The sequence below is a fragment of the Homo sapiens genome, chromosome 4 (assembly GCF_000001405.40).
Source record: "Homo sapiens chromosome 4, GRCh38.p14 Primary Assembly".
NCBI classification, from domain to species: domain Eukaryota; kingdom Metazoa; phylum Chordata; class Mammalia; order Primates; family Hominidae; genus Homo; species Homo sapiens.
This window is the reverse complement of record NC_000004.12, coordinates 139,729,093-139,756,684: the sequence shown is the minus strand read 5'-3', so window position 1 is coordinate 139,756,684 and position 27,592 is coordinate 139,729,093. Positions and strand designations below refer to the sequence as shown.

Here is a 27,592-nt window from a genome sequence, read left to right as displayed (position 1 = left end):
GGAAGGTGCAGTGAGCAAAGAGCTGTCCATGCTGGTAGGAGCCTAAAGCACAGCCACAACCAAGTCATTTCCAGAAGTGTTTTATTACGAGCTTGAATTTGCACACCAACTTCTCCAAGGCAGCTTCCCTGTGAGGGAGAAGTTAGCTAGTGCCTCGGGGTCCCTTTAAGGTTTAAGGCTTGGAGTCCTTGACTCTCAGGTATAATTCTTGGGATATTCTATGAGAATGCTGACAGACAACTTTTTAAGGCCAACTTTCTGTCTTCAGCCATGTGTGATTCTGTTACATAGACCAGTATACTACTGGTTTTAGTTCCTGTGTCTTGATGGAGCATAATAAAAATCTCAAAATTAAAGATCCATTTTATTCAATACCATGGACTTTAAAAGTGAATAATGTTTTATCAGTGCACATCATATTTTTCAAAATCATCAACATTTTCATTGGGTGGAGGGAGTGTTCCCTTCAAAGCATACTAAACAACCAATACATTGGGATTAGAAGGTTCAAAGTAGCATTCTTCCCCGGACAACCTACATGCTTTGCTGTTCTTATACTCCTGCAGTATGTTCATGAATACTCTGCAGAAAGTTGCTTTTTTTTCTTCTACTATGTGCCGCTTTCCTAATGAATTATGTAGATGAACAGATAACTTTTGAGTTAACTTTCACACTTAGATTTATTCTTTCCCAGACCATAGCGGGTGTTTTGACGTAAGTCCTGCAGAGCTAGAAATTTAACTTCAAATTTGCAAAAACTATTTTCAACCAACTTTGGACCCCACAGTGTTCATTAAATGAATTAGAAATTACAGAGTTAGGGGGTTTTTTTATTTTATTTTAACTGTTGCCATATCTTGATCCATTGCCTAAAATTCATACAACCAGAAATTTTGGTAGAACTTCCTACACTCTTCAGGCACTTCCTGGCCTGTTGTAGTTTCTTCAACAGACTGCGCAGGGCCCTGTGTTAAATGTGTCAATGTTTACTTAATACTGACATGCAAAAGCTCACTCTTTCTCTTTCTTTTTCTGCTGTTGTAGTAAACCATATATAGGGACCAAAAATTAATTGGAAATCCTGAATCTTGCTCTGTCGCCCAGGCTGGGGTGTAGTGGTGCGATCTCCTCTCACTGCAAGCTCCGCCTCCCGGGTTCACGCCATTCTCCTGCCTCAGCCTCCCATGTAACTGGGACTACAGGCGCCCACCACCACACCCGGCTAATTTTTTGTACATTTAGTAGAGACGGGGTTTCACCGTATTAGCCAGGATGGTCTCGAACTCCTGACCTCGTGATCCACCCGCCTCAGCCTCCCAGCACGCCTGTGCTGGGATTACAGGCGTGAGCCACCATGCTGCGCTGGCACAGTTTTCTTAAATCCACATTGCCGAGGCAGTGGGAGGTCCAAGCCAAATAAGGAGCAGGCTTTCTCTAATGTCATTCCCAGTGCGTTTCACTCCCAGAGTCTACAGGTGCTATTCCGGCTTATGGCTGTTGAAATATGGAACAGCAAACCGGCTGTCATTCATAAGAATTGGTGCCGGCCAGCTGGCCAAGCCAACTACAGGAATAAAGACGTGCCTTTTCACTCTGATACACGGGGCCTTGCTCTGAGCAGACAGCTGAAGAATCTCAGGTGACAACCCCAGGGAAATGGTGTTTGTGGCACTCAGGCATTCGCCACGCCGAAGAGGCAAAGCAACAGACATAGGATGTCAGCGTGCTGATTAAGGAGAACAGAGGCCGACCATGCCTGCTCCTGGGACTTTGGGCAGAGGAAGAGAAACTGAGGGGAAAGCTTAGATGACTACATGTTATAAATAAACTTTAAATAATTTTAAAAATTAGTTTTATTTACAGTGTCTTCTTTATTAGGAAAGAATCATGAAGAATCACAATTGCACTGGGCTGGTCATTTTTTAAAAATTGAACCTAAAGTATAATCCAGACACCCTTGTATATTCCTGATGGAAGTGTAAATAGGTCATATCTTTCCAGAGGGTATTTGATAATATGTACCAAAACAGGAGCCTTAAACACATTCATGCTCTTTGACACAAAACTTCTACTTTTAGGAATTTATTTGAAGGAAATAATCAGAGATATACATAAAAGTTTATGTACAAGAATGTTCATTTCAGCATAAAGTAGTGAAAATTGAAAATTATTTAAATGTCCAACAATAGGCAATTGGTTAAATAAATGATAACAGCTTTATACAATGGAGTAACATGCAGCTATGATCCTTGTCTTGTTTGAATGAATGTTTTGGTTGGAAATACATTGAGTGACTATCATTTTGTGGTAATAATCAGCAGTGATTTTGCTTTCCCATTTTATATTTTTCTGTGTTGTCCACATTTTCCATAGTGGATAAATTTATAATCAAGAAGAAAATAATGTTTAAAGAACTATAAGAACATAAACATGTGATTAAAATTAGTGATTTTTTACATTTAAAAACTCACCCATAATTGACCTCCCTAATACACCTTTGTTTTGCATAGTAATATTGTTTGCATTATGCACTTGTTCAAGTTTTGCAGTTTCAGTCATAGGGCATATGCCAGTTTATATGTTACTATTCAACTAATATTTTAGTCTATAATTATCACATTCATAACTTTATAACATTACAACATATTAATGTACATGTGCATAGTAGGTAGTATTAATTCTTAATTCTGCCTTGGGCAAAGAGGTTTTTCATTAACTCTTACCCCTCCCTCCACCCCAGTCTCCAGACAGAGTTAATCATTCCCTTATCTGTCTTTTGCTCATTACACAATTCTTCATTTCCATTTGTCTCCCTTCTGATGTAGGAGTTCCTTGAGGGCCAGCCATACCCGTGCGTCTTGGTAGCCATGGTGTCCAGCGCTGTGTCTGGCATATGCATGAGAGAAAGGAGAGATGGATCCACAGATGGACAAACAGAAGAAATGAGTGGGGCTAAGCTTTGATAGTTTAACATCTATTTGACTTGAGTAGCCTTGTAAACTTATTAATTCTCACCTCAGCCTCAGGGATGTATGTAGGGAAGGAGCATAAAAGATCTGCAGTTGCCCTAATACAGATATTTTTCCCTTCACTTATTTTGTAAAATTATATTTTATTTTCATGGTAGTTTTAGACTCAAGGTTATAAAGGCCTGCTTATAATAGTTCTCCTACCAGCCTCTGAAACTCATCTTTAATTTTTTTCTGTCAGGATTTTCTCCATCATGCATATTAATCACATTCCTTTCCAAATTTGTATCAATACCCATAACAGCAGTTAAAATGCTCCTAACAAAAAATAGATAGATAGATAGATAGATAGATAGATAGATAGATAGATAGATTAAAAAGAAAAGAAAAAAGCAAAGAAAGGCAGGCTGCTTAATGGGTACAGAGTTTCTGTTTAAGATGAAAAAGTTCTGGAAATAGATCATGGTATCGATCACACAACATTGTGAAGTACTTAATGCCACTGAATTGTACACTTAAAAGGAGTTAAAATGATAAATTTTATGTTATGTATATTTTACCCCAATGAAAAGGGAAAGAAGGAAAATAGGAATTGAGTGGTGTGTAACCCTCTCTTTCTACAAATCTGTTTTTCACTGGCTGAGCCCTCTCCTGAAACAGGATTCAAGACGGTCATAAGTCTTTTTGAAGACAGGAAGAATAAATTCTTCAGGTCTGTATTGTATCCTCCTATTATCTTGACCTAGCAGATAGGTTCAAAAAAATCACCCCAGCCTGCAAAGACCTCGCCATCCTATTTTCTTTCCCCCTGTTAGCTCTTCCCAGTGTCACCACAAGGAAGTAGCTAATGACATCGCATTAACAGCCTGAAGAACTATGGTTATCAATGTAGAGGGACATTTTTTTCCCTTAAAATTATTGCCTGCCTCTAGCTTTTTTTTCTTCTATAATCCAGCTAAAATCATTTAGGTGTTAGTGCTGCGATCTTCGATTGGCCATGTTTCTTCTTATCTGTACACATGCTCTCTCGGGAGAAATATGTATAAATGCTATGTGGTAAAGGTTTTTTATTATTATCATTTAGAAAAATACAGAATGTATTTGTGCCAAGCCTTCTCTGAATGAAGACATGAGAAGTCCTGGCTTCCAAAGCTTCCCATGACCTGCCAGCCACTTTCCCAGCCATCCTCTTTTTGACCCCAAAGAAGACGGTGGGGAGTGGTTATCACTCACCCCCTTTTCATAGGTGGGGTTGTGAGCACAGAGAGAGCCAGGCTAGGTCCAGGGTGGGTGCCACACACTGGAAGAGGAGTTGGGTCCGCCATGCTAGACCTGGTGGTTGTATAGGAGCCTAGTCCCAGGCCTGCGCCCATGCAACCACAGGCCTAAATACCATATCTCATTGATCCTAAGATGCACATTTTTACATCTGTGAAATCAGGATACATCTTACAACTGATGGCACACCATAGTTCTGCAAGGTGCTTTTTTCTTTCTTTCTAGTAGTACGTAACGTGAGCCTTAAAATTTATGAGTCTTAGAGCTAATGAAATAGGAATTATTAGGGAGAACCTACAGATAGCCATCTGTAACATTTTGTAGAAATTGCTGAAGTATCTACCTGCAAGGAAAGTTAGAATTCGAATCCCAAAGTCACAGTCTAGAGAAAAGATAAGGCTATTCCAGAGTTAGGCAGTAATGATAAGCTTCAGATTTCTGCTGCTGGGCTCAGACCATAGTAGTAATAAATGCAATACAGGCTTCCTTTTATATGGAGGCTCCTTGGAGGTCTCTGCTTTGAATGTGTACCTTTCTTTATCAAAAGGAGCTATACTGTAACCTTACATGCAGACACTATAAGAGATAAGAATGGATACTTTGCGGATTAGAGGTCAAAGATGTCATTGTAACTCCATGGCTTGCTGTGGGCAAAATTGTGACCTGGGCTGAGTGTATTCCAGTGTCCTCTTTCCTCCTCCCTCCAGGCACAAGGTCTACCCACTGGCTCCCTGGGGTCCATCAAACCCACCCATCTGTGTACCACCCCTTAGAACCTAAGCACTATTTAGGGTTAGGGGCTATTGTGGGTTATATATACAGGTTGAGCATCCCTAATCGGAAAAGCTGAAATCCAAAATCCTCCAAAATCCAAAATTTTTTGAGCGCTGACATGATACCACATGTGGAAAATTTCACACCTGACCTCATGTGATGGGTCACAGTCAAAATGCAGTCAAAACTTTGTTTCATGCACAAGTTATTTAAAATATTGTATGTAATTACCTTCACACTATGTGTATAACGTGTATTATGAAACATACATGAATTTTGTGTTTAGACTTGGGTCCCATTCCCAAGATACCTCATTATATATATGCAAATATTCCAAAATCCCAAGAAATTCGTAATACTTCTGATCCCAAATATTTTGGATAAGGGATACTCAACCTGAATATGTTAGACTACTCCAAGTAATATTTTAAGTATCATAGTAGTCTCCTAGAAAATCTAAACCCAAATGGGAAAATGTTATATTTAGACAGGGACATGGGAGAGATATTTTTCAGAGGCATTTTGTTATTTGGAAAATACCTATGGGTGACTACTCACCCCATCTTTCTTTGCCTACTCTGCAGGCCAGATCCAGAGTTAGACCCTGAAGACGGACGACTGACCTTCAGGTCTAACAGTCTCTAACTTCAGGAAAAGAGTGATTGAATCACAGGAGGCAGCTTGCCAGGTGTTCCAAATAGGAGTAGACATCTCCACTCCCACTACCCATAAAAGATTGCTTATTTTCAACTGAGGCCTAAGTCAGAAATGTAAAAGCAAAACAAAAACCCTTCTTCTGAAACTTCCTCCCACTTCAGTTTTTAAAAGGGGGTAGGGAGTGGGAGGTAGTGATGAGACCTGAAGATGAGAAATGCTAGGATGAAAATCTATCGCTAACTTTTGAAATTCAAAATAGAGTGCCTTAGGAAGGCCATTTTTAGGTAGAATATACAAAGAAAGTAATTGAGCCTAAAGAGGACCTAACTACCTCTTTAAATTTATATTTTTATCAGCTGCAGGAGGGTAGACTTCTTCACTGGGGTCAGACAGAGTGAACAATGGAGGAGTGAATTCCAGTGTGTCGAGTTTCATCATGTGGCGTAATATGGTTCAGATACAGCTCAATCAGTAACTCTCAAATTCAAAGAGGATTTAAGGCTTAATATCTCCAAGGAACAAAGAGAAGAAAGCCCAAAACTGCACCAAAGGCCATTTCTAGAGTCCACCTGGTTTGCATTTAGTGCAGAGGCAGCAAATGCTGAACCATCCTCAGAAGGAGGACTCACGACCCACCGCCTAGGAGGCCTCTCTTTCCCTCTGATCGGTTGATTTTATTGAAGCTAGAGAGTGACCCACAGGGGATGCTGTGTTGCTTCTAAAGTTTCTAATGCCACCTAGGAAGGACTGGGGAATTGTCACCCCTTCTTCCCTGTCACTTGGAGCTATGGGAGGCACCCAGGGGATCTGAACCCTCCCTTTCTCTTCACTTAGCATTGAAATATCATGTGGGCAATGAGCTACCTTATCTTGGGGGTTTGGAATTCTTGCAGATGAATTCCAAAGCACTCTGCCATTCAGAGTTTCTTGTGTGTTTCACGGCTGTGTTTGGCATCCTATTGGCACTTCAGGGTACAATCAAATTCACTGTCACTCTAGTGACATGAATAATCCATCCATATTAATGAAATGATAGCTGTTCCTTGCCATCTCTTTTCTTATTCTTAAGTTGATTTCAAATAACATGAATTCCACTTTTGGCAGAATAGGGTGGGGGGGGGTTCTTATTCATCTCCACTATGAGAGTTGAAAGGGGGACAAAGAGATAATGGAATGATGGTGATGTAGAATAACTGTAAAATAATTACTGCATTGCTCAAAACTCTGTATTATTCATCTATGTAGTGAGAGCTCCTGTTTGGTACCACACTTGAGTGGCAACCTCACCAATTAGCACTGCCACCGCGGGTCTGTGAATTGCATGTGAAAATAGAATTTGTCCAGAAGTGCTCATGCAAATTGTGCAACACAAATGTGGCCTCCATGTCAAGTCCTTTCACGTGTTCTGACAGACTCATGTCTTTCCAGATTTCTCTGATCGGCGCCCCCCACCCCCTTGACAGTTACCAGAGCTCATAAGCCAAAGGAAATAGTTCCTGTTGCCATGAGTACTGTGTCTGTGGTGAGGTTTATGAGCTGCTCTTAGGGCTGGGTTTTTGCCTGAGAAAACAATCAGATTTCGCTTAGATCTGCAAGAAAGCAGATTAGGAAGGGAATATATGCAAATATCTATGTTAATGCCACCAAACCTATAACTTGGCCTCATGGTGCTTGTGTAGCAGTTCTCTTAGAGAAAACTTTTTTTGCATTTAATATATATTTCATGTTTTTGAAATCTGTGTTAATGCAAAGAAACCTGGAAAGCAAAAGCATTAGGTCAAATATGAACTTGGCTATAATTTTATATAATTGGGGTATATCATATCTTTGTGAACATAGAAACTGTACATTTATAAACCATTCTTTGCCTTTTCTCAATTTGAAGAAAATTCCAGTCTTTCCTGAGGAAGGAAATATATTTTTCCATTTGAGCTCTGTTTAGAGCTTTTGGATTGTTTTTAGTTGGCAGTTTGTGGGGGGCCAGATGGGAAGGAAGAGGTGCCCTCTGGAACTTCAAGGACGTGTGCAGCCACAATCGTGCCCACACTCTATTCACCAAAGAAGCAGGGTCAAAATGGTGTGCATGCAAAGAGGAGCCCCTAAGAGAGGCTCTCTTCGGAGGCCAGCAAAACAAAGCCGGGTTGAGTTTGCAGGCCTTGAAAATGGCCGCTGGCAAAATACCTGGTCAGGCTGAGACCTTCTTTCACTTTTCCCTGCCTTTCTACTGTTCAAAACCTCGGAGCTTGAAATTGCTCAACTTTCCAAAGCTAGTTGCATTCAGACTGAAAGAAAAAAAGAAATTTTACCCCAATTGTGCTTTTGCTCCTTACCCCAGAAACATATAGACTATAGAAAGCACAGCTGTGGTCAAGCTGAACCTCATCCTGATTTGGGGGACTGAGCCGGAAGTGTCCTCCCAGCCAGGGTCTGTTCTTGGCCTCTTCTCAGCCTGACTTTTCCCCAGCAGCCTCCTGCTCCTTCAGTTTTACTCATTTCCACTGATGCATTTTGTCCTGTTCTCTCCCCCTTGTTGTACGTTTTGATGTTCAGGACCAGAGATCCTTTCTCCAGTTGGTTCTCAATCTGAGCTCCACTTCTTTCCATTTCTAGACCCTCCTCCTGGTATTCAGGTCCCTTAGTGACTCTGTTTTGGGGTGTGAGCCTGTTTCTCTGAAGCCCCTGAAAGGAAAGTGATAGGCATCTTGGTGACCAGCCCTAGAAACCCCAGCCTAGGGAGTGTCTTCTCTTATGGCTCAAGTGCCCCAAACCTCAATTCCCATCTTCCTGTTTAGGCCCTGGACAATGTAAAGAGATGGAGGCCCTCTTAGAGCCTGTGGGTATCTGGAAGCTGAATATACCATGGGCAGTGTTCCTGTGAATTTGTTTTCCCATCCTCCTTTCAAAGGCCCACTACCTCTATATGTGCATTCTTTTTTTTTTTTTTTTTTTTTTTAGACGAAGTCTTGCTCTGTCCACCCAGGCTGGAGTGCAGTGGCGTGATCTTGGCTCACTGCAACCTCCACCTCCCGGGTTCAAGCAATTCTCCTGCCTCAGCCTCCCAAGTAGCTGGGATTATAGGCATCCACCACCATGCCCAGCTAATTTTTGTATTTTTGGTAGAGATGGGGTTTCACTGTATCGATCAGGCTTGTGTCGAACTCCTAACCTCAGGTGATCCGCCCACCTTGGCTTCCCAAAGTCCTGGGATTACAGGCATGAGCCACCACGCCCAGCCTATATATGCATTCTTATTACTCTTAGTAAGTATCAGTAATCAAATGATGTGTGCAAGGAATTTTTTTTTTTCTTTTCTGAGAGGGAGTCTTGCTCTCTTGCCCAGGCTGGAGTGCAGTGGCACTATCTCGGCTCACTGTAACCTCCACCCTCCCGGTTCAGGCAGTTCTCCTGCCTCAGCCTCCCAAGTAGCTGGGATTACAGGCACACACCACCACAGCCGGCTAATTTTTGTATTTTTAGTAGAGACGGGGTTTCACCATGTTGGCCATGCTGGTCTTGAACTCCAGACCTCAGGTGATCCACCTGCCTCGGCCTCCCAAAGTGCTGGGATTACAGGCGTGAGCCACTGTGCCCGACCTACAAGGAAGACATTTTTAAAGTTCTTCCCCCTAGAATTCATTCTCTAACTAAAGAGATGCATGCAGATGCTAAAAGGAAAAGTTTCTGTCTAAAAGGTGGGGGAAAGTTGCCCGCGCTCTGCACTCTTCTCCCTCCTCCCACCGGCGCCACAAACTCTCAAGTTACATTTCCTTCCTCAGTGATGCAGAAGGTGTGGATTTGGTATAAGCTTTAAGGGTTCAAATAGACTGGTATTTCCACCCTACAGAAACCATCATTTAAGGATTGACTTCCCTGCACATTCTGAGGACAGGGCTTCCCTCCATCCTCAACCCCTTTGCTTTTCCCAGAGCACAAGACAAAACCACTAAGGGCTGCACAGACTCAGTAGGTTCCAAACACAGGAACAGTGAGAAGCAATTGCTGCAAGCCTTGGGCCATGAGGGAAAGCCACGGCCGGTGGCCCACAATTTCTTAAGATGAACCCCCGACAAAAGCTGGCCTAGTCCAGGACAGCAGACGCCAGCAACCCCCTCCCACCCGATTCTCCCTAGGCTTTTTATTACCTTTACTTGATCAAAGGAAGGAAAGCAATCCGTCTCTCTTCTACTTGTTTCATAAAAGAAAACATAATCATAGTTTGACACATTACTTTTGGTGGGTGCACAGAAAGAATATGCTATATTAGAAAGGGAGAGAGGAGGAGAAGGGGGGAGGTGAAAGGAAAACAAATTGGCTGCCTGCGGAGGTCCAGTGTCAAACGTCTGCGGAATCTTGTTCCTTTAGATACTGTGGGAAAGACCATGGCAACGAGGGGCCCGCAGAGCGAGAGAGACAGATGGGGAGATTTGCAGCCCCTCCCTGGGATTAGAAGACAGAACAAATAGGTGAAGCAATCCATTTTCCAGAGCCCAGTGGTAATTTCAGAGTGTTGTGGACCAGGGTATCTGCTTCTCCTCTGTTGTCTTGATAAGGGGTAGGAAAATTTTTAAAGGGAAGATTTTTCATTTTTTTCAGAGAAGACACTCAGTCTCCAAGTTGGTGATATAAAACATGTTTTTACCTGAAACCACCAAGGTATTCTTAACTTCAATCATAAATTTTCAACAGTCCAACTGGTTGTGTACTGATGAATTATTTTGTTAGAAATTATTCTTATTACCATCTCTAGTTCAGATTTAAAAGGTTAGTGGAATACATGCCATGTTAATTATCTTACAAAAATATAACATACCATTTCTGTTGCAAACAAGATTTAGCAATAAGACCGAGAGTGATTTTCTGACTTTTTAATAAAAAATCCAACTGAGAGCTTATGCTTAGGAAATATTTAGTTATCACATTTGTTATGAAGTCTACTTGTCATGAAAAGTCTTTAATTGGGCCACCATAGAACTTTCGTTATTACTTGTCAGGACTTCTTGAAAAAAGTTGAGTGAATGAAACATTTAGTAGCAGGAGAAAGTTGGAGAAACAAGTTAAGGAAGCACAAAAACTAAAAGGTTTCTTCTTCTCCAAGTTGTTGTGGTCACATTTCCTGTTACTGCCTGCCATCTTTCCTCCATCCCCAGGATGTATTGTTAGGGCTTTGAAAATATTCACAGTATATACCTACTGTTCTACTCCCTGTCAAAAACCAGGTGGTATGTTTAAAATCCTGTATACTAAATTCACATTTAAATAAATTTAGTTTTTTAAAAATAGGGAAGACCAGAAAAACTAGCATTATTTTTACCTGATTTTAAAGCAGGGATCACTATATCTCTGCCAGGTTTCTGGTAGCCATGTGGACTGGGCAGAGCACAATAATAGAGAAGAGAAATGAGTGGGAGGAGGTGGGATCCCAGACCGGAAAATGACCCCAGATATTTGCACATGAGAATTCTTATTCTTGCAGGAATATGCCTGGCAGGTGCATTTGGCTTTTTTCAGTTCCCACAGTCAAGTGCCAAATCTCAGCCAGCTTCCCCTCACCTCCTGATGGGATTACCCCCATGGCTACCTCCCAACCCTTCCTGCCCACTTTTCTCCAGATCCAGCCCTGTTCTAATCTGACACTAGCTTACCTGACACTAGCTTAATCTCCTTAAAGTAATGCATTTAGCGTTTATTCCCTTTAAGAACCTGCTGTGGCTCCTGATGGACGGTGGTCGAGTCGGCTGGATCTGCCTGCATGCAGATCTGTCCATGGCCAGTCCCACCCTGTGAAGCTTTCCTCTCACACATCCCAGCAAACACCCCAACTTTGGGTGGCCACCTCCCTCCTTGCAGGTGGCCGCTCTCCTTCCTTCCTTCTCTTCTCACTCAAATCCAAATCTACACTTCCATCAAGGCTCTCAGTCAAGTCCCTGCTAATCCATGAAGCTCTTTCCAAGTGGAACCAGAGAAATGTTAGAGCGAGTAGAAACCTTGGAGATTACCTGGACTGGCTTCCTCATTTCATAAAGGAGAATACTGAAGCTTAGAAATGTTCAGTGACTTGCCCCAGGTCAAACACTGCCTAGAACTCATGTGCCTTGTATCCACATTTGGGCCTATTTCTACGCCATGCCACCACTCTGCCCATCCCGGGTCTGGTCAGCCTGGCTCTATGGAAATCGAATGGAAACAGAACACACGCCACACAGCTTGCCTCTTGACCAGCTGGTGTCATCTTTGAGCTTTTCCGTGAAGTGCACCTTGTCTCTGCACTAGGATTTCAGTCTCCCTCCAGGACAGGGGCCGTGGCTGCACTGCAGTGAGAGTCTGAGAGTCCCACCATAGCCCCTGCCATTGTGCTGGGGTACTGGGCCTGTGCAGACTCCTTGAGCAATAAAAGTTTTTCAAAAAGTGGGATGCATATTCAAATTGAAAGCAAACTTTAATAGCAAAATATACACGCCACACATTGTGTTCTAGTGCTCAGACTTCAGGGGGAGGTATACTTGTTTTCTGAGCAATATTTGCATGTTAGCCATGCAGTGACTTACTCCACATAAAATCCCAAGCAAAGCTATAACCACAACCCATGCTCCTGGGGGGTGGTATATCATATTAAGCAAGTGGGTTGTTTGCTTATTTGTTTTATTTGTTTGTTTTAGCTGTGAGTGTTCTTTAAGAAAAATCAACTCTAAGATCTGGAAGCTGAGACTGAAAATGACACTAAGGATATGCAATGCTGCACAGCTTGAAGGGAAGGGTCTGAGGCTCCATGTTCTCAAACCAGATCCCTGAACCTCTATTAGGTCAGCCACCCTGGCAATCAATTTAACTGACCTAGTCAGCCTTCCTTATCTAAGTCTCTTAGCAGAAGGTGAATCAGAGTATTCCAGACCTCTCTAGGTTCCTACCCAAGGTGTTTGTGCATCTGACTACAGGATATATTTGGGCTGTGTCCCCAAGAAACCTCTGAGAGGTACTAAGAGTGACTGGGACCCTGCTACAGCAGTGACAACTGTTAGTGACAATGACCATGGCAGGACTCTATGGCCATAGGGATGGCCCCTCCACATGTGAGCTCTCAGCACCCTGTACATGAATGTACATGAGGACTTACTTTTATTTATTAATGGGGACTCAGAGACCCCATCTTTCCTTCAAAATTCTCTGTGACTACATCAAAGAAAAAAGAAATCAAGATTGGCCTTGTCGACCTTTTTTATATGCTTCTAAATATGATTAAGAGGTAGTGTTCTCAAGGCTTTCTATAGAAAGTAACCTTCAGTACAAATTATCCCCTGAGAACCTAAGGAAAATAAAGAAAGGAATCTCACACTGGCTGGCTTTTCCCCGTGTGGTATCCTTGGGATCTGAGACAGATTTCAAGTTCAGTTTCCAGGTTTGTCATCCCCACTCACCCCTCCTCCACTCCTCAGCAAGTTTACAGCCATGTATATTTAGTGTCAGCTTCCAGAAAAGGTTTGGTTGACTTGAGAAAGGTTTAATAATTGCTGATTGAGAAATTGTGTATTCTTAAAATGGGGGAGAGGATAAAGGGAAACAGAAACACAAAGGGGAAAGTAATTATTTGGGCCAAAGTACAAGAAACGGTGTCTATCAGAGAAATGGTCCAAAGGGAAGGAAGACCAGAAACAGGATCCCTAGTGTCCGGGAAGCTTTCTCAGGTTGAGAAGTCTCCTGAACAGCAGGTTAGATCTCCCTGTCCTACTCCAGCATTAATCACCCTGCCCCTCCTGTTCTGCTGTTATCCTCCCACAAGCAGTCACCTTGGAGAGAAGTGGTAATGGTTGCAGCAGCTCTTAAAGGAGGCGTGTAACTTTAGGTGGAGACGTGTATATGTGAATCGTGGTTATGCTGTAAAGCAGCCTGCCTGGATCTGGGAAGCAGAGTGAAGGTGGGTATGAAGTCAACTAGCTAGAGGAGAAATTACCCCAGAAAGCTTTTGGGGAAAAATGAGGGGGTGGTAGTGGGCATTTGAGGGGATATCATGGTAAGGAGGTCAGACTTGGCTTCAGTTTCTGGTGGAAAGAAATTAGGAAACTGGTGCTACATCCCAGATGTTTAAGCAAAAATATTTATGCTTTTAGAAGGGATAGGTGGCAAAAAATACTTGGTGCATAACCTCCATCTTTGAAGGCCTCTATTGTTATAGTCAAAAAGGTGGATTTATTCCTCACTAAAAGTTTCCCATCAACTTCCCAAGGGCAATTATACTGTGCACAGGATAAACACAAGACGTATAAAGAATGTTTATTCTAGGGTCTCATTTCATATTTAGCTACCAACTTAACTTTTATCCTAAGCAAAAGTGGTCATTTGTAAACAGGGATGTTTTCCTTTACACAGCTGAGGAACTGATGTGACCGTTAAGAACCAACAAAATCTGAGCTGAAAATATAGGCCCCACCTAAAGTTTCTAACTTCCTCATTATTAATAGGGACGATACTAAGAGCAAACCTTTATGAGCGCCTACTATAAGCCAAGCACTGCTGAATCATGCTTCCCAAGAAGAGTTCTGATTAAAGAGTGAAAAGTTTAAGACGGCCAGGTGCGGTGGCTCTCGCCTGTAGTCCCAGCACTTTGGGAGGCCAAGGCGGGCAGATTACCTGGGGTCAGGAGTTTGAGACCAGCCTGGCCAACACGGTGAAACCCTGCCTCTACTAAAAATACAAAAATTAGCCGGGCGTGGTGGCACACGCCTGTAATCCCAGCTACTAGGGAGGCTGAGGCAGAAGAATTGCTTGAGCCCGGGAGGCGGAGGTTGCAGTGAGCCGAGATTGTGCCACTGCACTTCAGCCTGGCTGACAGAGCGAGACTCTCTCTCAAAAAAAAAAAAAAAAAGAAAAGAAAAGAAAAGTTTAAGATCTGTAGAGAGGATGATTTCTCATTGTTTCCAGATTCCTTTATCCAGGTTACCATGTGTATGTGTGGCGTGGAGTCAAGGGCTGTGTTAGACCTCTTTGAGTGCTATATTCTTTCTAAAACTTATTTTTATGCCCGTGTGTCTCCAAGTCTTTCAAGGTTAAGAAAATACCTGAGCCATTTCTATTTTTTGGAGTGCCCAGGTATATTTACAAAATGAAGAAATGACAATAGGGCGTTTTAAAAATGCAATGTTTTTATTTTAAAAAATACAGCATAGGGCAATTATACCGTGCACAAGATAAACACAGGACATATAAAGAATGTTAATTGATAATGGACTTAGAGCAGCCCGATCTAATAACAGGGCAGAATTTTTTTTGAGACAGGGTCTCACTCTGTCACCCAAGCTGGAGTGCAGTGGCACAATCACAGCTCACTGCAGCCTCAACCTCCCAGGCTCAAGCGATCCTCCCACCTCAGCCTCCTGAGTAATTGGGACTACAGGTGCACACCACCATGCCCAGCTAATTTTTTTATTTTTAGTAGAGATGAGGTCTTGCTGTTGCCCAGGCTGGTCCTGAACTGAACTCAAGCAATCCTCCCACCTCAGCCTCCCAAAGTGCTGGGATTACAGGCATGAGCCACCACGCTCAGCTCAGGGCACAATTTAAAGCTGTAAAATAGATGCTATTTTTCAATCCTCTCAGGATTTCTCAGTGACTATATATGTAAAACCTTGTTCGAAGAATATGTCTAAAAATCTAAACTCAAGGTTCTTGTGGATGCAAGGCCCAGGGTCAGGTGGTCTTATGCCCTGATCCCCCATAGGCCCTCACGGACCAGGTATGAGCCCTTCTCCTAGACTTGCTTCCTCTAAGAAGCTGGTCGTCAGCCACAATCTTTACATAAGGAGAAGTACCAATCCCAGATTTCTAAGTGTTTCTGTTTTTCATTCTGCTTCCTTGTTTTTCCCTGCTCTAAGTCCTAGCCTCCTCAAACCCCACCACCGCAGCTGGGCAGGCTTCTACTCATAGGAATGGGGGCCGAGGGTGGGGAAAAGGGTAGCCCTCCTCTCAGAGCCTCAGCATCACATAGTCAAACCCAGCTTCCCACAGACAGGTTCAGCAGTCGGGAAACCGGCAGAGCAGGCTGACACGGGCCCTCCCTCTCACGGCCTCTGGAAGGAAGGAAGGAAGAACATGGGGACACCAGAAAGGCAGCTTGTGGAAGGCCTCTTCTCAGGCAGTCAGCACTGATCTCTCTCAGCCCCCCTCCCAAGGCTGTGGCGGTTCTGGAGATGACGGCGGGAAGTGCCCTCGCCTTCCCTCCACAGCATGCCCTGAGCACTCAGCTTCCCTTCCCTTCCCTTCTTCCTGTCTTGTAGTGGTTGCAGCAGAGAGCTCCATTTGGCAGCGTGGTGGTGCTCTTGTCTATTAATGGAAACATTGGCCTGTCTCCCAGTATAACACAAGATAGGCCTATGCATCAGTTATGCAATCTTTGCTTTGATGACTTCATCAGAAAGGGTGGGTACAATAAGAGAGAAAGGCTCGGGTTGGGGGAAACAGTAGCTCAGGAGGGGGAAAAAAATCTCCCTAGCAGCTGAAGACAGCTGAGACTGCTCCCCCTCCCTATTTTTAAATCAAGGAAAGAAAGGTAGCAAACATATGGGTAAAAAAAACCTAATGGAGCAGCTGACAAACCACTTTCAGTCCATGTGTCCTGACAGCGGCCACTTGCATGCCGGCAGAGGCTGTGCTCGTCTCAGTGGTGCAGGTTTCCCAGCCCTGGTGACTCAGGTCTTCTTTCCACGGAGAAGACAGTCTGTGGAGGCAATGGCAGTTTTCACCCACCTCTCGAGTTCTTGAACTCCAAAGGTCTGGCTGGTTCTGGCCATGCACTGTGGCTTCAAGCCTAAGACAGAGAAAAGCCACAGAGAGCTGGGTGGTGCCACAGAGAGCAGGCTTGTCCAGGTAGACCAAAGAATTCTTGGAAGATGGTCAGTACCCTTCCTCTGGGACTTAGGAGCTCTTTGTGGCAGCAATGTAAAGCCGACCTAGTTGCTGAACCTGTATCCAAGCCCAGTTGTGGAAGCCATGTACAGGTTTTAAAAGGGGACCTGCCACTTAAGCATGTCTGTTACACCCTCTAGAGCGTAAGGTGGGCTCAGGGAGAAATAGTCCAGGTCCCAGACATAACCTGGGCCCCTCTTGAACTCTACATTTCATTCCATAATAGTTTAGCCTTATTCTTAACAAGCTTTTAAAAATAATACTAAAAGTAATATATATTCATAATATAAAATTTGAAAAAGTATAAAAATAAAAATCCCTTATAATTCTTGTCTAACAAGACTATCCAGTGGCTAGTGTTTTTAGAAACTGCTTTTTTCTTTTTTTTTTTTTAGTTTTAACACCTGAGGACATAAAAGAAAAAAAAAAAAAAACTGCTTTCCTCCCCTGCCTTTCTTAACTATATATGGTAAGCTTTTTCCTATGTGATTAGATAGTCTAAGGAGGCATGATTTTTATTGGCTGCCTAGTATTCATGGTATGGATGTACCATAATTTATTTAATCAAGCTTCTATTGTTGTACACTAATGAACTTTTAACCAATGTAGAATTGCTTTGGTGGTGGAATTAATCACAAGAAAGGGATCAAAAGGACTCTATAACTTACATCAAAGGCAGACGAAAAGCATAACTCTCAAAGTTGTGTTTCCATTGGAGGGACTTATGGTAACTATGTTCAAAGCACTGATAAGGACAAATGGTATTTTTGTTGCTTTTATCCCTGCAAAAAAGGGCCTTGAAAGGCTGACCTTCCTGTGGCTGGTGGCATTCTCACATTTAGCACTGGACTGCCAACTTTAACCCTTTCTTTAACATTCAGCAGAGGGTCAGCTCAGGAGCTCGGAGAAGCTGTCCATTATAGGGCCATCATTTTGTCATCTCCAGTTATACCTGATGTTGGTTTAGGCTAGAATTCATCCCAGCCAATTAGTCAGTTGAGTTCAGTAAATCTGTATTTTGCTGCAGCTGTGGCCCTAGCTCTGTGCTGGATACTGGGAAGACTCATAGTCTTGGTCCCAAAGGAGCTTAAAAGCCTTGCCAGGAAGGATGCCATAAGGATATCATCCTGCCAGGAAATGATCACTTGGAAGCACTTGGAAAGTTAGAAGCTTCTACCTCTCCCATGTTACTTAGTTAAGAATCAGTAGGTGTGTGTAATTGTGTATATACCATGATCATAAGCATAAAAATATGTTATTGCATCTGGGATAAAACTAGGAGGAAATATAAAAACACATCAAAATATTAACAGTGGTTACCTTTGAGTGTAAAAAATGAGTGTTAGCTTTTTTCTGTATACTTTTTTTCTATCTATACTTTTCTGCATTTTTTTTTCTCTGTACCTTTTTTTCTATCTATACTTTTCTGCATTGTTTTTCAAATGTTCCCCAGCAATTGGGCAGCAGAGGAAGGAATCGGCAAAATGTATATTTTTTAAGTAATTGCCCTATCAATTAAGCATTTAGCTCCTAAAATAATGGGGACCAAGACCTTTTTTTTGTTTGTTTGAGACAGAGTGTCGCTGTATTGTGCCCAGGCTGGAGTGCAGTGGTGCAATCTCGGCTCACTGCAACCTCCGCCTCCCAGGTTCAAGCAATTCTCCTGCCTCAGCCTCCTGAGTAACTGGGACTACAGGCACACGCCACCAAGCCCAGCTAATTTTTGTATTTTAGTAGAGATGGGGTTTCACCATGTTGGCCAGGCTGGTCTTGATCTCCTGACCTCAGGTGATCCACCCGCCTTAGCCTCTCAAAGTGCTGGGATTACAGGCGTGAGCCACCATGCCTGGCCTGACCATGACAAGTCTTGTTCCCCTTTATTTTAGGAGCTAAAGCTAGCACCAGAAACACAGCACTTCCCTCACCCTGAAGGATGCCCTGCATGATCAAGAGGTTTCGGCAGTAAGAATAACAACCACAAGCTGTTTGTTATGTGCCAGTCACTGGGCCCATGGTGGAGCTGAGTTTCTACCCAGGCCTGTGGGGTTCCCCCAATGTACACTGTTCCTTTCTAGAAGCTGAACCAAGAGCTTTGCTGGACCCATTTAGCAGCCTTCGCATTGGGCCCCAAGTTATTGCTGCTTCAGTGATAAGCCTCCTAAATTGATGAACTCTGCCTCAAACTCAATCATCTTGGGGACACAACCATCACACATCACAAAACAAACCTTTTAATCCAATCTTCTTCAATAATCTGCTGAGACAGAGGATATTAGATGGGGTGGGCCCTTTTGGAGCTCTGCTATGAATTTATTGTAAACACCTCTCCAAACCCACAGTAAAAATTTTTCTGGAAAAAGAAAGTTTGTAAAAGAAAACCAAATCACTGCCTTGACACCTGATCAACTTCAAAGGGAATTGTAAGGTTTTATTTTATTTTGTTTCTTCCTTCCACTTATGGTTGAATGATCTAATCTTATGCCCTTTCTTTAAATGTCAAAGTTGATACCACAGAGGCATCCCAATTTTGGGTACCAGACAACATATTAAAAAAAATGATGCATATTTTGGTGCTCTTTCAGTTGCATCCTTTGATCCCAAGGGTTTCTACCTTTTTATTCTATGCCCATTCCTCTCCCCACCCCCTTCCCATTTCTTTTTATTCCAACATCCTCCTGGGTGGTCCGCTCAATTTAGACCAGATGCATGTTATGGTCAGTGGAAAAGTCAGAATCCCAGAGACGCCACCACCAGACAAGTTCCTTAACCTCTCAGAAATTTGGGCTTAAAAAAAAAAAATCAACAAAATGAGTTAAACATACAGGTGAAAGCCCCTAGTAGAGTGTTTTGCAATGAGTAGGTGCCCCATAAGTGTTACATTCTTCATATTTGAAGAACTCTTTCAATCAGAGGGAACTTTCCTCAAATCATAGCTTTCCATAGTTCACCTTATTACACGAGGGACTTGTAAGTCTAGGGATGTCTGATGCTCCCCTTAGCAAGGGCATTATAGGGGACTCGCCCTTCCTCAGTCATGGATGCTCCTCAGCCTCCACAGCACAGTTGCAACTGGAGTAGTCCGTCCTGGAAGAATTGGCTCCTTTCAGCCATGGGCTCCTTTCAGAATTCTTGGGTTTGCATTGCAAACATCACTGGCCTGAGCAACCCTCTGAAAATTTTGAAAATTTTGTTCCAAAGCAGGAAATTTTGCAATAGAAACTAAGCAACTCAGCACCCTGACTTGCTTTTGAAAGTGCAGCTTTGCAATCTAATCAGGGCACAGGATTATTTGCCCCAATGATTCTCTATGGGACATCGTAACCACCTGGAGAGCTTGTTAAAACACCCCCAAAAGTTCTAATTCAGGAGGCCTAGAGGGGAGCCTGGGAATTTGCATTTCTAACAAGCTCCCAGGTGGGGACTAATGCATTTGATCCTGGAACCACACTTTGAGAACCCCTAATTTTTAGTTACTCATTTTTCCCAAATTGCCCATACTGGGAATGGGGAGGTTTTAGAGTATTCTTAGCTATTTCCTTTCTATGACACTTCATTAACTATGTCACCTCCAAAATTTCCATTGTCAAGGAGTCTTATGAGTATGGTTTTCATTTCAGGGGGTGGGGACTGAGAGAGGTCAGATGGCTTGCCTGAACCTCTGGGAGTCACAGCCAGGCGCCTCTGTCTAGCCATCGTGGGTGTTCGATTCATCCTGTGCTGCTCAATAACATAAAACTGCTGCGCTCTTTGGCCAAGCAATTGTCATGTTAGCTTTCACCTCTGATACATACTTTCGCCTTCTCAAACTTACTAATAAAACTTTCAATAGTATCTTTGCAGGAGAAAGCCTCTGGATTCTGGTGAGAGGTTGGATGTAGCTATCTTTTGATATATACAATTTCGTCGAAATCCCAGTTGGGCTAAAGATTCCTTCCTTTAAAAAAAATTTTTTTTTACTTGACCCAATTCAGAGTGAGTGAGTGAGTGAGTGTGTGTGTATGTGTGTGTGTGTCTGAAAAGCACAGGTTTTCTGGGGCATCCTTTTTGTTTATGCATTGATTTATTTTTACTCTTTCCTGCCACGAACAATCCTCATCTCTGTCCTCGTGTCCTTCCCAGCCACTAACACACACGATGTGGCGGGGCCTGGGAAATGCGCCCGCTGGAGCACACCGCAGCCTCGCGGGCTCCCGAGCGGCGCGCGCGGGCCGAGGACCTCCAGGGCCCCTCGCGGGTCTCCCGAGCGCCGCCGCACCGCCCCTGCCCGCGCCCGGGACCGCCTCGTGGGCTTCTTTGTTAGGGCCGCCTGCGCCGAGAGGCAGTCTAGGTCCTGCCGGGGACGCACGGGCCCCACTCCTGACTTCCTAGCCGGAGTCCCCTGAGGACTTGTAAGCATATAGGCTGGAGTCGAGAGGCTAAATTAGGCCCCAGGGGACTTTTTCAATAAAACCCTAAATTTCATTTAGGTTGTTCGTAGGCCAAGCGATTGCAAGGACTCTGAGCCGAAGCAGCGGTGCCGGGCCGACCCGAGGCTCGCTCCTTATCGCCCCCTCCCCGGGCCGGCTTTGTGCAGCTGGGGTCCTGGAACCCGGTCCCTCCCGGGCTGTCGGCCCTGGGGTCTGGTGTCCGCCACCCTCCCCCCCCGGAGGTCGCCACTGCCCCCCTACCCCACTCCCAGCCCTTCCGTTTCCCTCCACGTCCCCTTCCCGCGCCCTCCCCCACTTGAATTCTTCCTCCCCTCCGGCTGGAAGAAAAGTCGGTAATGAGAAACCAGTTCAGTGTCAGTCGGAGGAGGGGGGCAGATAACCCCAGAGATACACGGCAATGGAGAGAGAACTCATTTTGTGCAAAGAGGGCCTCGAGTCACCAGGGAATTCCTGGATTGTCTCAGGCTGTCGTGTGTGATGTCCATCACGCCGTGCGAACACCATCTGCTCGGTATTGTGCTCTCAGTTGCCAGGCTACCTGCTGTACGCAGTAACACTTGACTGCCTGGCTCCACGTTCGCAGCGCTCGCCCAGACGCGCGGGGCGGGGGCCGCGGAGGGGCGGGCGGGAGCCCTGATTAAGCCATCTGCGAGGGGAGGGGGCGCGGGCGCAGCGGCGGCCGGGCACGAGGCCGGGCTGACACCACCATCTGCTGGGGCGCGGGAAGAACGGCAGCTGCTCTGCGTTGCCCCGGCGAGGGACGCCTGGAAAAGGCTGAAGCCCTGGGCGTCCTCAAGCCCGTTATCCACGGGGTCCCCGTCACCCCAGCCTGCTCGCCGCCGGCCGTCTTTTGTGATTCCCTGCTCTTTGGTTCGCCGCCAGCAAGGCTGGCCCCTCTCACCCAAACACTATGCATGTTCTTGAAAACACTTCAGAAAAATAAAGCTTCCCTACGCACAGATTTATAAATAAACAGCTGGCTGTTCTTGGGAGATATTTTTACCACAACTGTTTTTTGAAGTCGAAAACTGCCTGTTTGGGGGAGGTAAGGGTGCTTTTGACACCTCCTACCTCACTCTAGCCTTTAGAAAATTGCTAAGATCTTTTCCCTGGAGGGGAAGATATGTAAAATAGGTTCGTTGGTTTTGATTTCTTTCTCCTCCCTTTATTTTACTGAAGAGTCAGAGGGTTGGGCGAGTAGTGAAGATCTATGTAGCCACAGTTGGATTTTTGAGGGGAAGAAACTGTATTAAGATTCTTGGGAGAAGCAAGGGAGGTCGTTGGGCAAGGAGTGGATTGGAGAACAAGCCAGTAATTACAACTAAAAATACTGCATCATTTGGCTTCAAGGCATTACATCTCGCATGACGAAAGCTCAGCCTGGTTTTCTCTAATTGCACAACACAGTGTGTGTCCTTCTTAGAAACAAGAGCAGTGGCTTGAAATCCTGAAATTTGACAGACTATTTCTCATTAAGCCCTCTGAGACTGGAGGTTAAAAGAAGCCATGTATTATGTTAGTGGCCTCGGCCAGCTTAATGTGTAAGTCAAGTCACTGAGTACATTTTCACACTTTGGAATACACCTCAGAGTCGGGGGCTGTAGGTGTCTCTCATCCACTGTTGAATGCCGCAGAGCTTTGTTGCGAACTAAAGATGTTTCGTATGGAAGGCAGTCCTTTAAGAATGCACATAGTGGCTGGGAGCAGTGGCTCATGCTTGTAATCCCAACATTTTGGGAGGCCAAGGCAGGAGGATTGTTTGAGGCCAGGAGTTCAAGACCAGCTTGGGCAACACAGATGGGCAACAACCCATCTATACAAAGAATTTAAAAATTAGCAGGGCATGGTGGCTTAAACCTGTAGTCCCCCACCTACCCAGGAGGCTGAGGCAGGAAGATTGCTTGAGCCCAGGAGTTGGAGGTTGCAGTGAGCTATGATCATACCACTGCACCCCAGCCTGGGCAACGGAGTGAAACCCTGTCTCTAAAAAATAATCATAAAATAATACATACAGCCCTTCCTGCCTGTAGGTCTTCAGTGAGAAGCCTGAAGGCAAAACCTCTGGGAGGGAATTATTTGGGGAAATACATAATCCTATCCCTTTGGGAGGGTTTTTTTTTTTTTTTTTTCACACTGTGCTTTTGAAGTATTTCTTCTTGGCCCAGGAAGACACGGGCAAAAAGTGGTTTGATGTATCGTCGTCACCCCATTTGCCTCTCTCTTTCTTTTCCCAGTGGAGAGGAGGCTGGGAAAGCAACACTTCTTCACTCCTTACCACTTCCCCAGCTGTGCGGGCTGGTCACACAGGACAAGCATATCTCAAAGTGCACAAAGATAAACAGGGCCATCCCAGACCAACCCTCTCAAAAAATCAAGCTGAAGAAAACTTTATCTTCCCTTGGGCCTCATTTTCTTTCCAACTCTCTCCTCCTTATCAAAACTGGAAAGTATCAAATATACTGAGACAGAAAAAACAAACTACATATCTGCATTTTTGCTGATTGGCTGTTTATATGTCAGTGTGAATTCATTTGTTAAAGTGTAAAGCCAATCAGCCATTTGTCCCTAAAGGTGCCAAGAAACAGCTTTATTTCACTGGAAGGAAGGGCTTGGAAAACAGGTAGCAAATATTTGGGGGAAAAGGGAAGACCCTGAAATATCTAGGCCCCTGCAAGGGTTAGTCCTGAAGTAAACTTTTTGGTAGCACAAAGGTTCCTGGCATTTTTTAGTGTAAGATCTTTTTATTAACATCAAAAATATTTCCTAGCTGTCTTTGTGTATTTATAGAGAAAATACACAAAGGCAAAACATTTTATTAATTTCAGCTACAGCATTTACACATAAAAAATAGAACGCAGTACACTTATGAGAGACACAGTATATAGGTCTACAGGCTGTTCTTAGGTGCACACTTAACACCATGAAGACACTGCCTGGGAGAGGCCTGAGCTAGTAGGAATACTGAATTGAGAATCAAAATCAGCGTTCTGCTTACTCATGTAACCAAATACCACCTGTACCCCGATAACTTATGGAAATTTTTTTTTTAATTTTAAGTTACATTTTTTAAAAAAGTAAAGACAAGCTATCTGTTACAAAAAAAAAAAAAATAGCGTTCTAGTTCTGCTAGTTCTGTGTCTTCCATTCATTGATTGTGTGACCTAAGCTACTGCACGAACAAACCAGAGCTTCTTGGGTGATTGTTTCTAGGGTAAGAGGAGTAGCGTTTTGGTTTGGTTTGGCTTTTGTTTGCTTTGCTGTTTTGTTTTGTTTGGAGGGAAGAAGAGCAACTGAAGATGCAGTTGAAGTCAGTCATAGTGGAGAGGGAAGCCTGCATGGTTCTACAGCACACCACAGAAGGAAGGGAGGAACACAAGCCCAAGCCATAGGGAATCAAATCCAGGACGGTCTCTCTAGGAGAGACAGAGAGAAACTTCACCTATTTGCTTTGAGAAAAAACTGCCAATATGTTTAACGGTATCTGCATTGGAAAGGCAATAAAGTAAAAAGAAGAAAAATGTTAAAATCCAATTTGGATTTAAAAATTTTTAAATGACAGAGTTATTCACATTTGCTTCTTGCTATTTAGGTCTCATAATAGTGCTTCACAAAATGACTGTGAATGTCCTTATATGTGTGCCCATTTAATCTGTGTCAACTCCTCCATTTCACATTAATTACTTGAAACTTCAGTGAGGTAGAAGGAATTTCTGCAGAATGTTCAGAACATACTTGCCACTGCTAGGTAGTCTTGGTAGAAAAAATAGGAAAGGAAGTGTCTAGAAATTGAATCTGGGCCACACACCTTTTCTTCCCATTCACTGTTTTCCCCTAATAGTCTACACTGTCCAGCTCAGAGCATAAACTTCGCCTTTGAGCACATTCTCCATGTAGTCACCTGGGCTGTGTGGAATTAGGTCTTTACCACTTGACCTCCTCTTCCCTAAGGACCAGTCCTTAAAAGTTGCCATCATTCGACTGGCTGACATATAATTATAGAATCAAGAGACCCAATCCAACACCCCATGTTTAAATTATCCCAGACATAGAAGACTCAATTCTTTTTTTTTGAGAAAGAGTCTCACTCTGTCGCCCAGGCTGGAAAGCAGTGGCGCGACCTCGGCTCACTGCAACCTCCGCCTCCCGGGTTCAAGCAATTCTCTGCCTTAGCTTCCCGAGTAGCTGGGATTACAGGTGCCCACCACCATGTCTGGCTAATTTTTTTTTTTTTTTTTTTTTTTTTTTTTTTTTAGTAGAGACAGGGTTTCACCATCTTGGCCAAGCTGGTCTCGAACTGACCTCGTGATCCACCCAAAGTACTGGGCCTCCCAAAGTACTGGGATTACAGGCGTGAGACACCGCGCCCGGCCGACTCAATTCTATTTTTAAAAATATTAGGAGATTACATAGCTTTGATCGGTGTAAAACATTCCCAGTTCTCACCATCAACAACTCTGGCCAGGAGGATTTTTCTTTCTGACATATATCTAAGCTCTCAAATGTTGCAACTCGTTAGAATTCCATCAAATATCAGATCTGTTGATTAACAAATTCCTGCAGTTTTCTGCAAATGTCCCTCCTACTTGCAAAGAAGACGTCCATTTTGGCCAAGTAGACAGTAAGAAATAAGGATTAACAGGTGAGGTCAGGATGTGTCTCGTGTTCCAGACTTTAGGTGAGCTCAGCCTGAGGGCTTATTCCCTTTCCTTGGAGGAACACAGGATGTTAGTTGAAAATCCAGTCTATATGCAATAGTCAGTCCCATCCGAAACAGACTGGACTTGGCCTTGGACTTCCCAGAGCCATGCTCTCTTACTGTCCCTTGTGGCCTCTCTCATTCTACTCAGGTAAGGTCGGGTTTGAAGCTACGTTTATGGAAATGCAATGCGTGCCACTCAAAAACCCTCCAGTCCATAAGCTGGGACTTCTGCCCCGTTCCCTTTTTCCAGGGGCTTCCCTTCAAACAGCAGTGAGTCTCTATGGGGAATCCCTGCATCTCCCTCTCTCTTGTCTTCCCAGGAGCAGCATCCAGTTGGACTTCCCCGAACCACAGGCCCCATGCAGTCCTCCGTGCCCCCAGGCTCAGGTGGCATGGTCTCAGGAGCCAGTCCCGCAGGCCCCGGCTTCCTGGGCAGCCAGCCCCAAGCAGCCATCATGAAGCAGATGCTCATTGATCAGCGGGCCCAGTTGATAGAGCAGCAGAAGCAACAGTTCCTGCGGGAGCAAAGGCAGCAGCAGCAGCAGCAGCAGCAGCAGATTTTGGCGGAACAGGTAACATGCCCCTTGGCGTGATTCATTCATTCATTCAGCAAGCACTTATTCAGCACCTGCCTGCTGCCTGTGAGGAAGTGGCAGTTCACATCCTCCATCAAGATGCTCACGGTCTAGCATTTCCCAGGATCACAAGAGAACCTGAAGAATTTAGACCTTTCAATTAGTTAGGGTTTTTCCTATAATGAATTAATTTGTTCTTAAAAGACAGGCTCCAGCCATCAATTTGAAGGCCTGTGTGCCAGAGACATTTCTTTGATTCAAGTCTGACTCCTTTCCTTCTGATTTCTGGTACAGGGGTCTGTGTAATCAGCACATGGCGGGGACTGTCTCACATGCTCCATAAGCCGTAATATTTCTAGCTTGAAGAAAAAAATAATAATTCAGAGAACTCTGTTTCTTAGAGGAAATTGACAGGAAGAGGAATTGAGAAGAATTCTATAGAATGGGTAATGAACAATGGATCAGGAACAATAGCAGAATAATAAGGCCTGCAGAACTACCTGGAAACCTGAACTCTGGGTCACACACAGGGTGCAAACTTAAGAAAACTCCCCACAGCTTTTAAAACAGCTCAGGAAATCTGTGAGTTAAAGGAAAGCCTAACACAAATACAGCTTTACCTTAAGCATCTTTGTCCACCCTCGCCCTATAATTCCTCAGCTTTGAGAGAAAGCCTTCCCTGCAGACTGCTACTGTAGATTTCAATTTGTTTTGTTTTTAGAGATGCCCATACCTGACTTAGCATTATCCTAGGGAAAGGCCTGAGGCTGTCCACAAGAGATCCCCAGGCGGCTTCTGTGAGGGTCTGCACAGAGAATCTTGCACAGCAGGCTCTTTCTTATAGGAGGTGTGAGGTTGTCATATAAAGCTGAAGGCCCAACATAAGTCTGCCTCACAGTTATCCTTCTAGAATATTCCTGATAGGGTCAGAATTTTATGAATTTTTTCTTAAAGAAATAGAGACGGGGTCGCACTATGTTGACCAGGCTGGTCTCGAACTTCTGGCCTCAAGCGATCCTCCCATCTCAGCCTCCCAAAGTGCTAGGATTACAGATGTGAGCCACCACGCCCTGCCAGAATTTTGCAAATTTACTAAGCATCCACCACCGTGTATCCTGTGTAGGACACGGGCCCATGGAGGTCCCTATTAACCAAGAATAGCAGTTCAAAGTAACACCAGGCATCCCCCAAAGAGAAAAATTGTACTGCTGAGCACAGTTCACTTATGTTCCCTTTTTTTTTTTTTTTTTTTTTTTGCTTTTGTTCCTGAACAGCTGTGTAATTATCTCCCTTTTTACCAAGGTCAGTCAGCCGCCTGGC

General features: G+C 44.0%; 2 protein-coding genes across 7 annotated transcripts in view, besides 2 other annotated features; one reads left to right on the top strand and one right to left on the bottom strand.

Moving 5' to 3' along the window:
• The window catches only part of MAML3 (mastermind like transcriptional coactivator 3), a 437,432-nt gene that overhangs the window by 397,500 nt on the left and 12,340 nt on the right, over nt 1–27,592 (top strand). For both annotated transcript variants that reach the window (XM_047415929.1, NM_018717.5), the window contains exon 3: nt 26,018–26,269. In XM_047415929.1, coding sequence (XP_047271885.1) covers nt 26,018–26,269 — 252 coding nt within the window. The remainder of the gene's footprint in view (nt 1–26,017; nt 26,270–27,592) is intronic.
• MGST2 (microsomal glutathione S-transferase 2) overlaps nt 2,067–27,592 on the bottom strand; it is an 88,800-nt gene continuing 63,274 nt past the window's right edge. For 2 of the 5 annotated variants that reach the window (NM_001204366.2, NM_001204367.2), the window contains one exon: nt 15,940–16,473. The gene's annotated coding sequence lies outside the window, so the exon portion shown is untranslated. Of the gene's footprint in view, nt 2,887–14,800; nt 16,474–23,556; nt 26,411–27,592 lie in introns of those variants that run through there. The other 3 variants (XM_017008211.3, XM_047415701.1, XM_017008212.3) reach the window with 3 other exon arrangements.
• Nucleotides 15,739–16,239: an enhancer, noted in NCBI's record as "H3K4me1 hESC enhancer chr4:140661600-140662100 (GRCh37/hg19 assembly coordinates)". NCBI's record gives its function as "activates a minimal SCP1, AML or CMV promoter by ChIP-STARR-seq in primed H9 embryonic stem cells {active_cell/tissue: H9 hESC(primed)}" and the evidence as "EXISTENCE:reporter gene assay evidence [ECO:0000049][PMID:30033119]".
• Nucleotides 21,598–21,717: a silencer, noted in NCBI's record as "silent region_15707". NCBI's record gives its function as "represses an Ori minimal core promoter by ATAC-STARR-seq in GM12878 lymphoblastoid cells {active_cell/tissue: GM12878}" and the evidence as "EXISTENCE:reporter gene assay evidence [ECO:0000049][PMID:35858748]".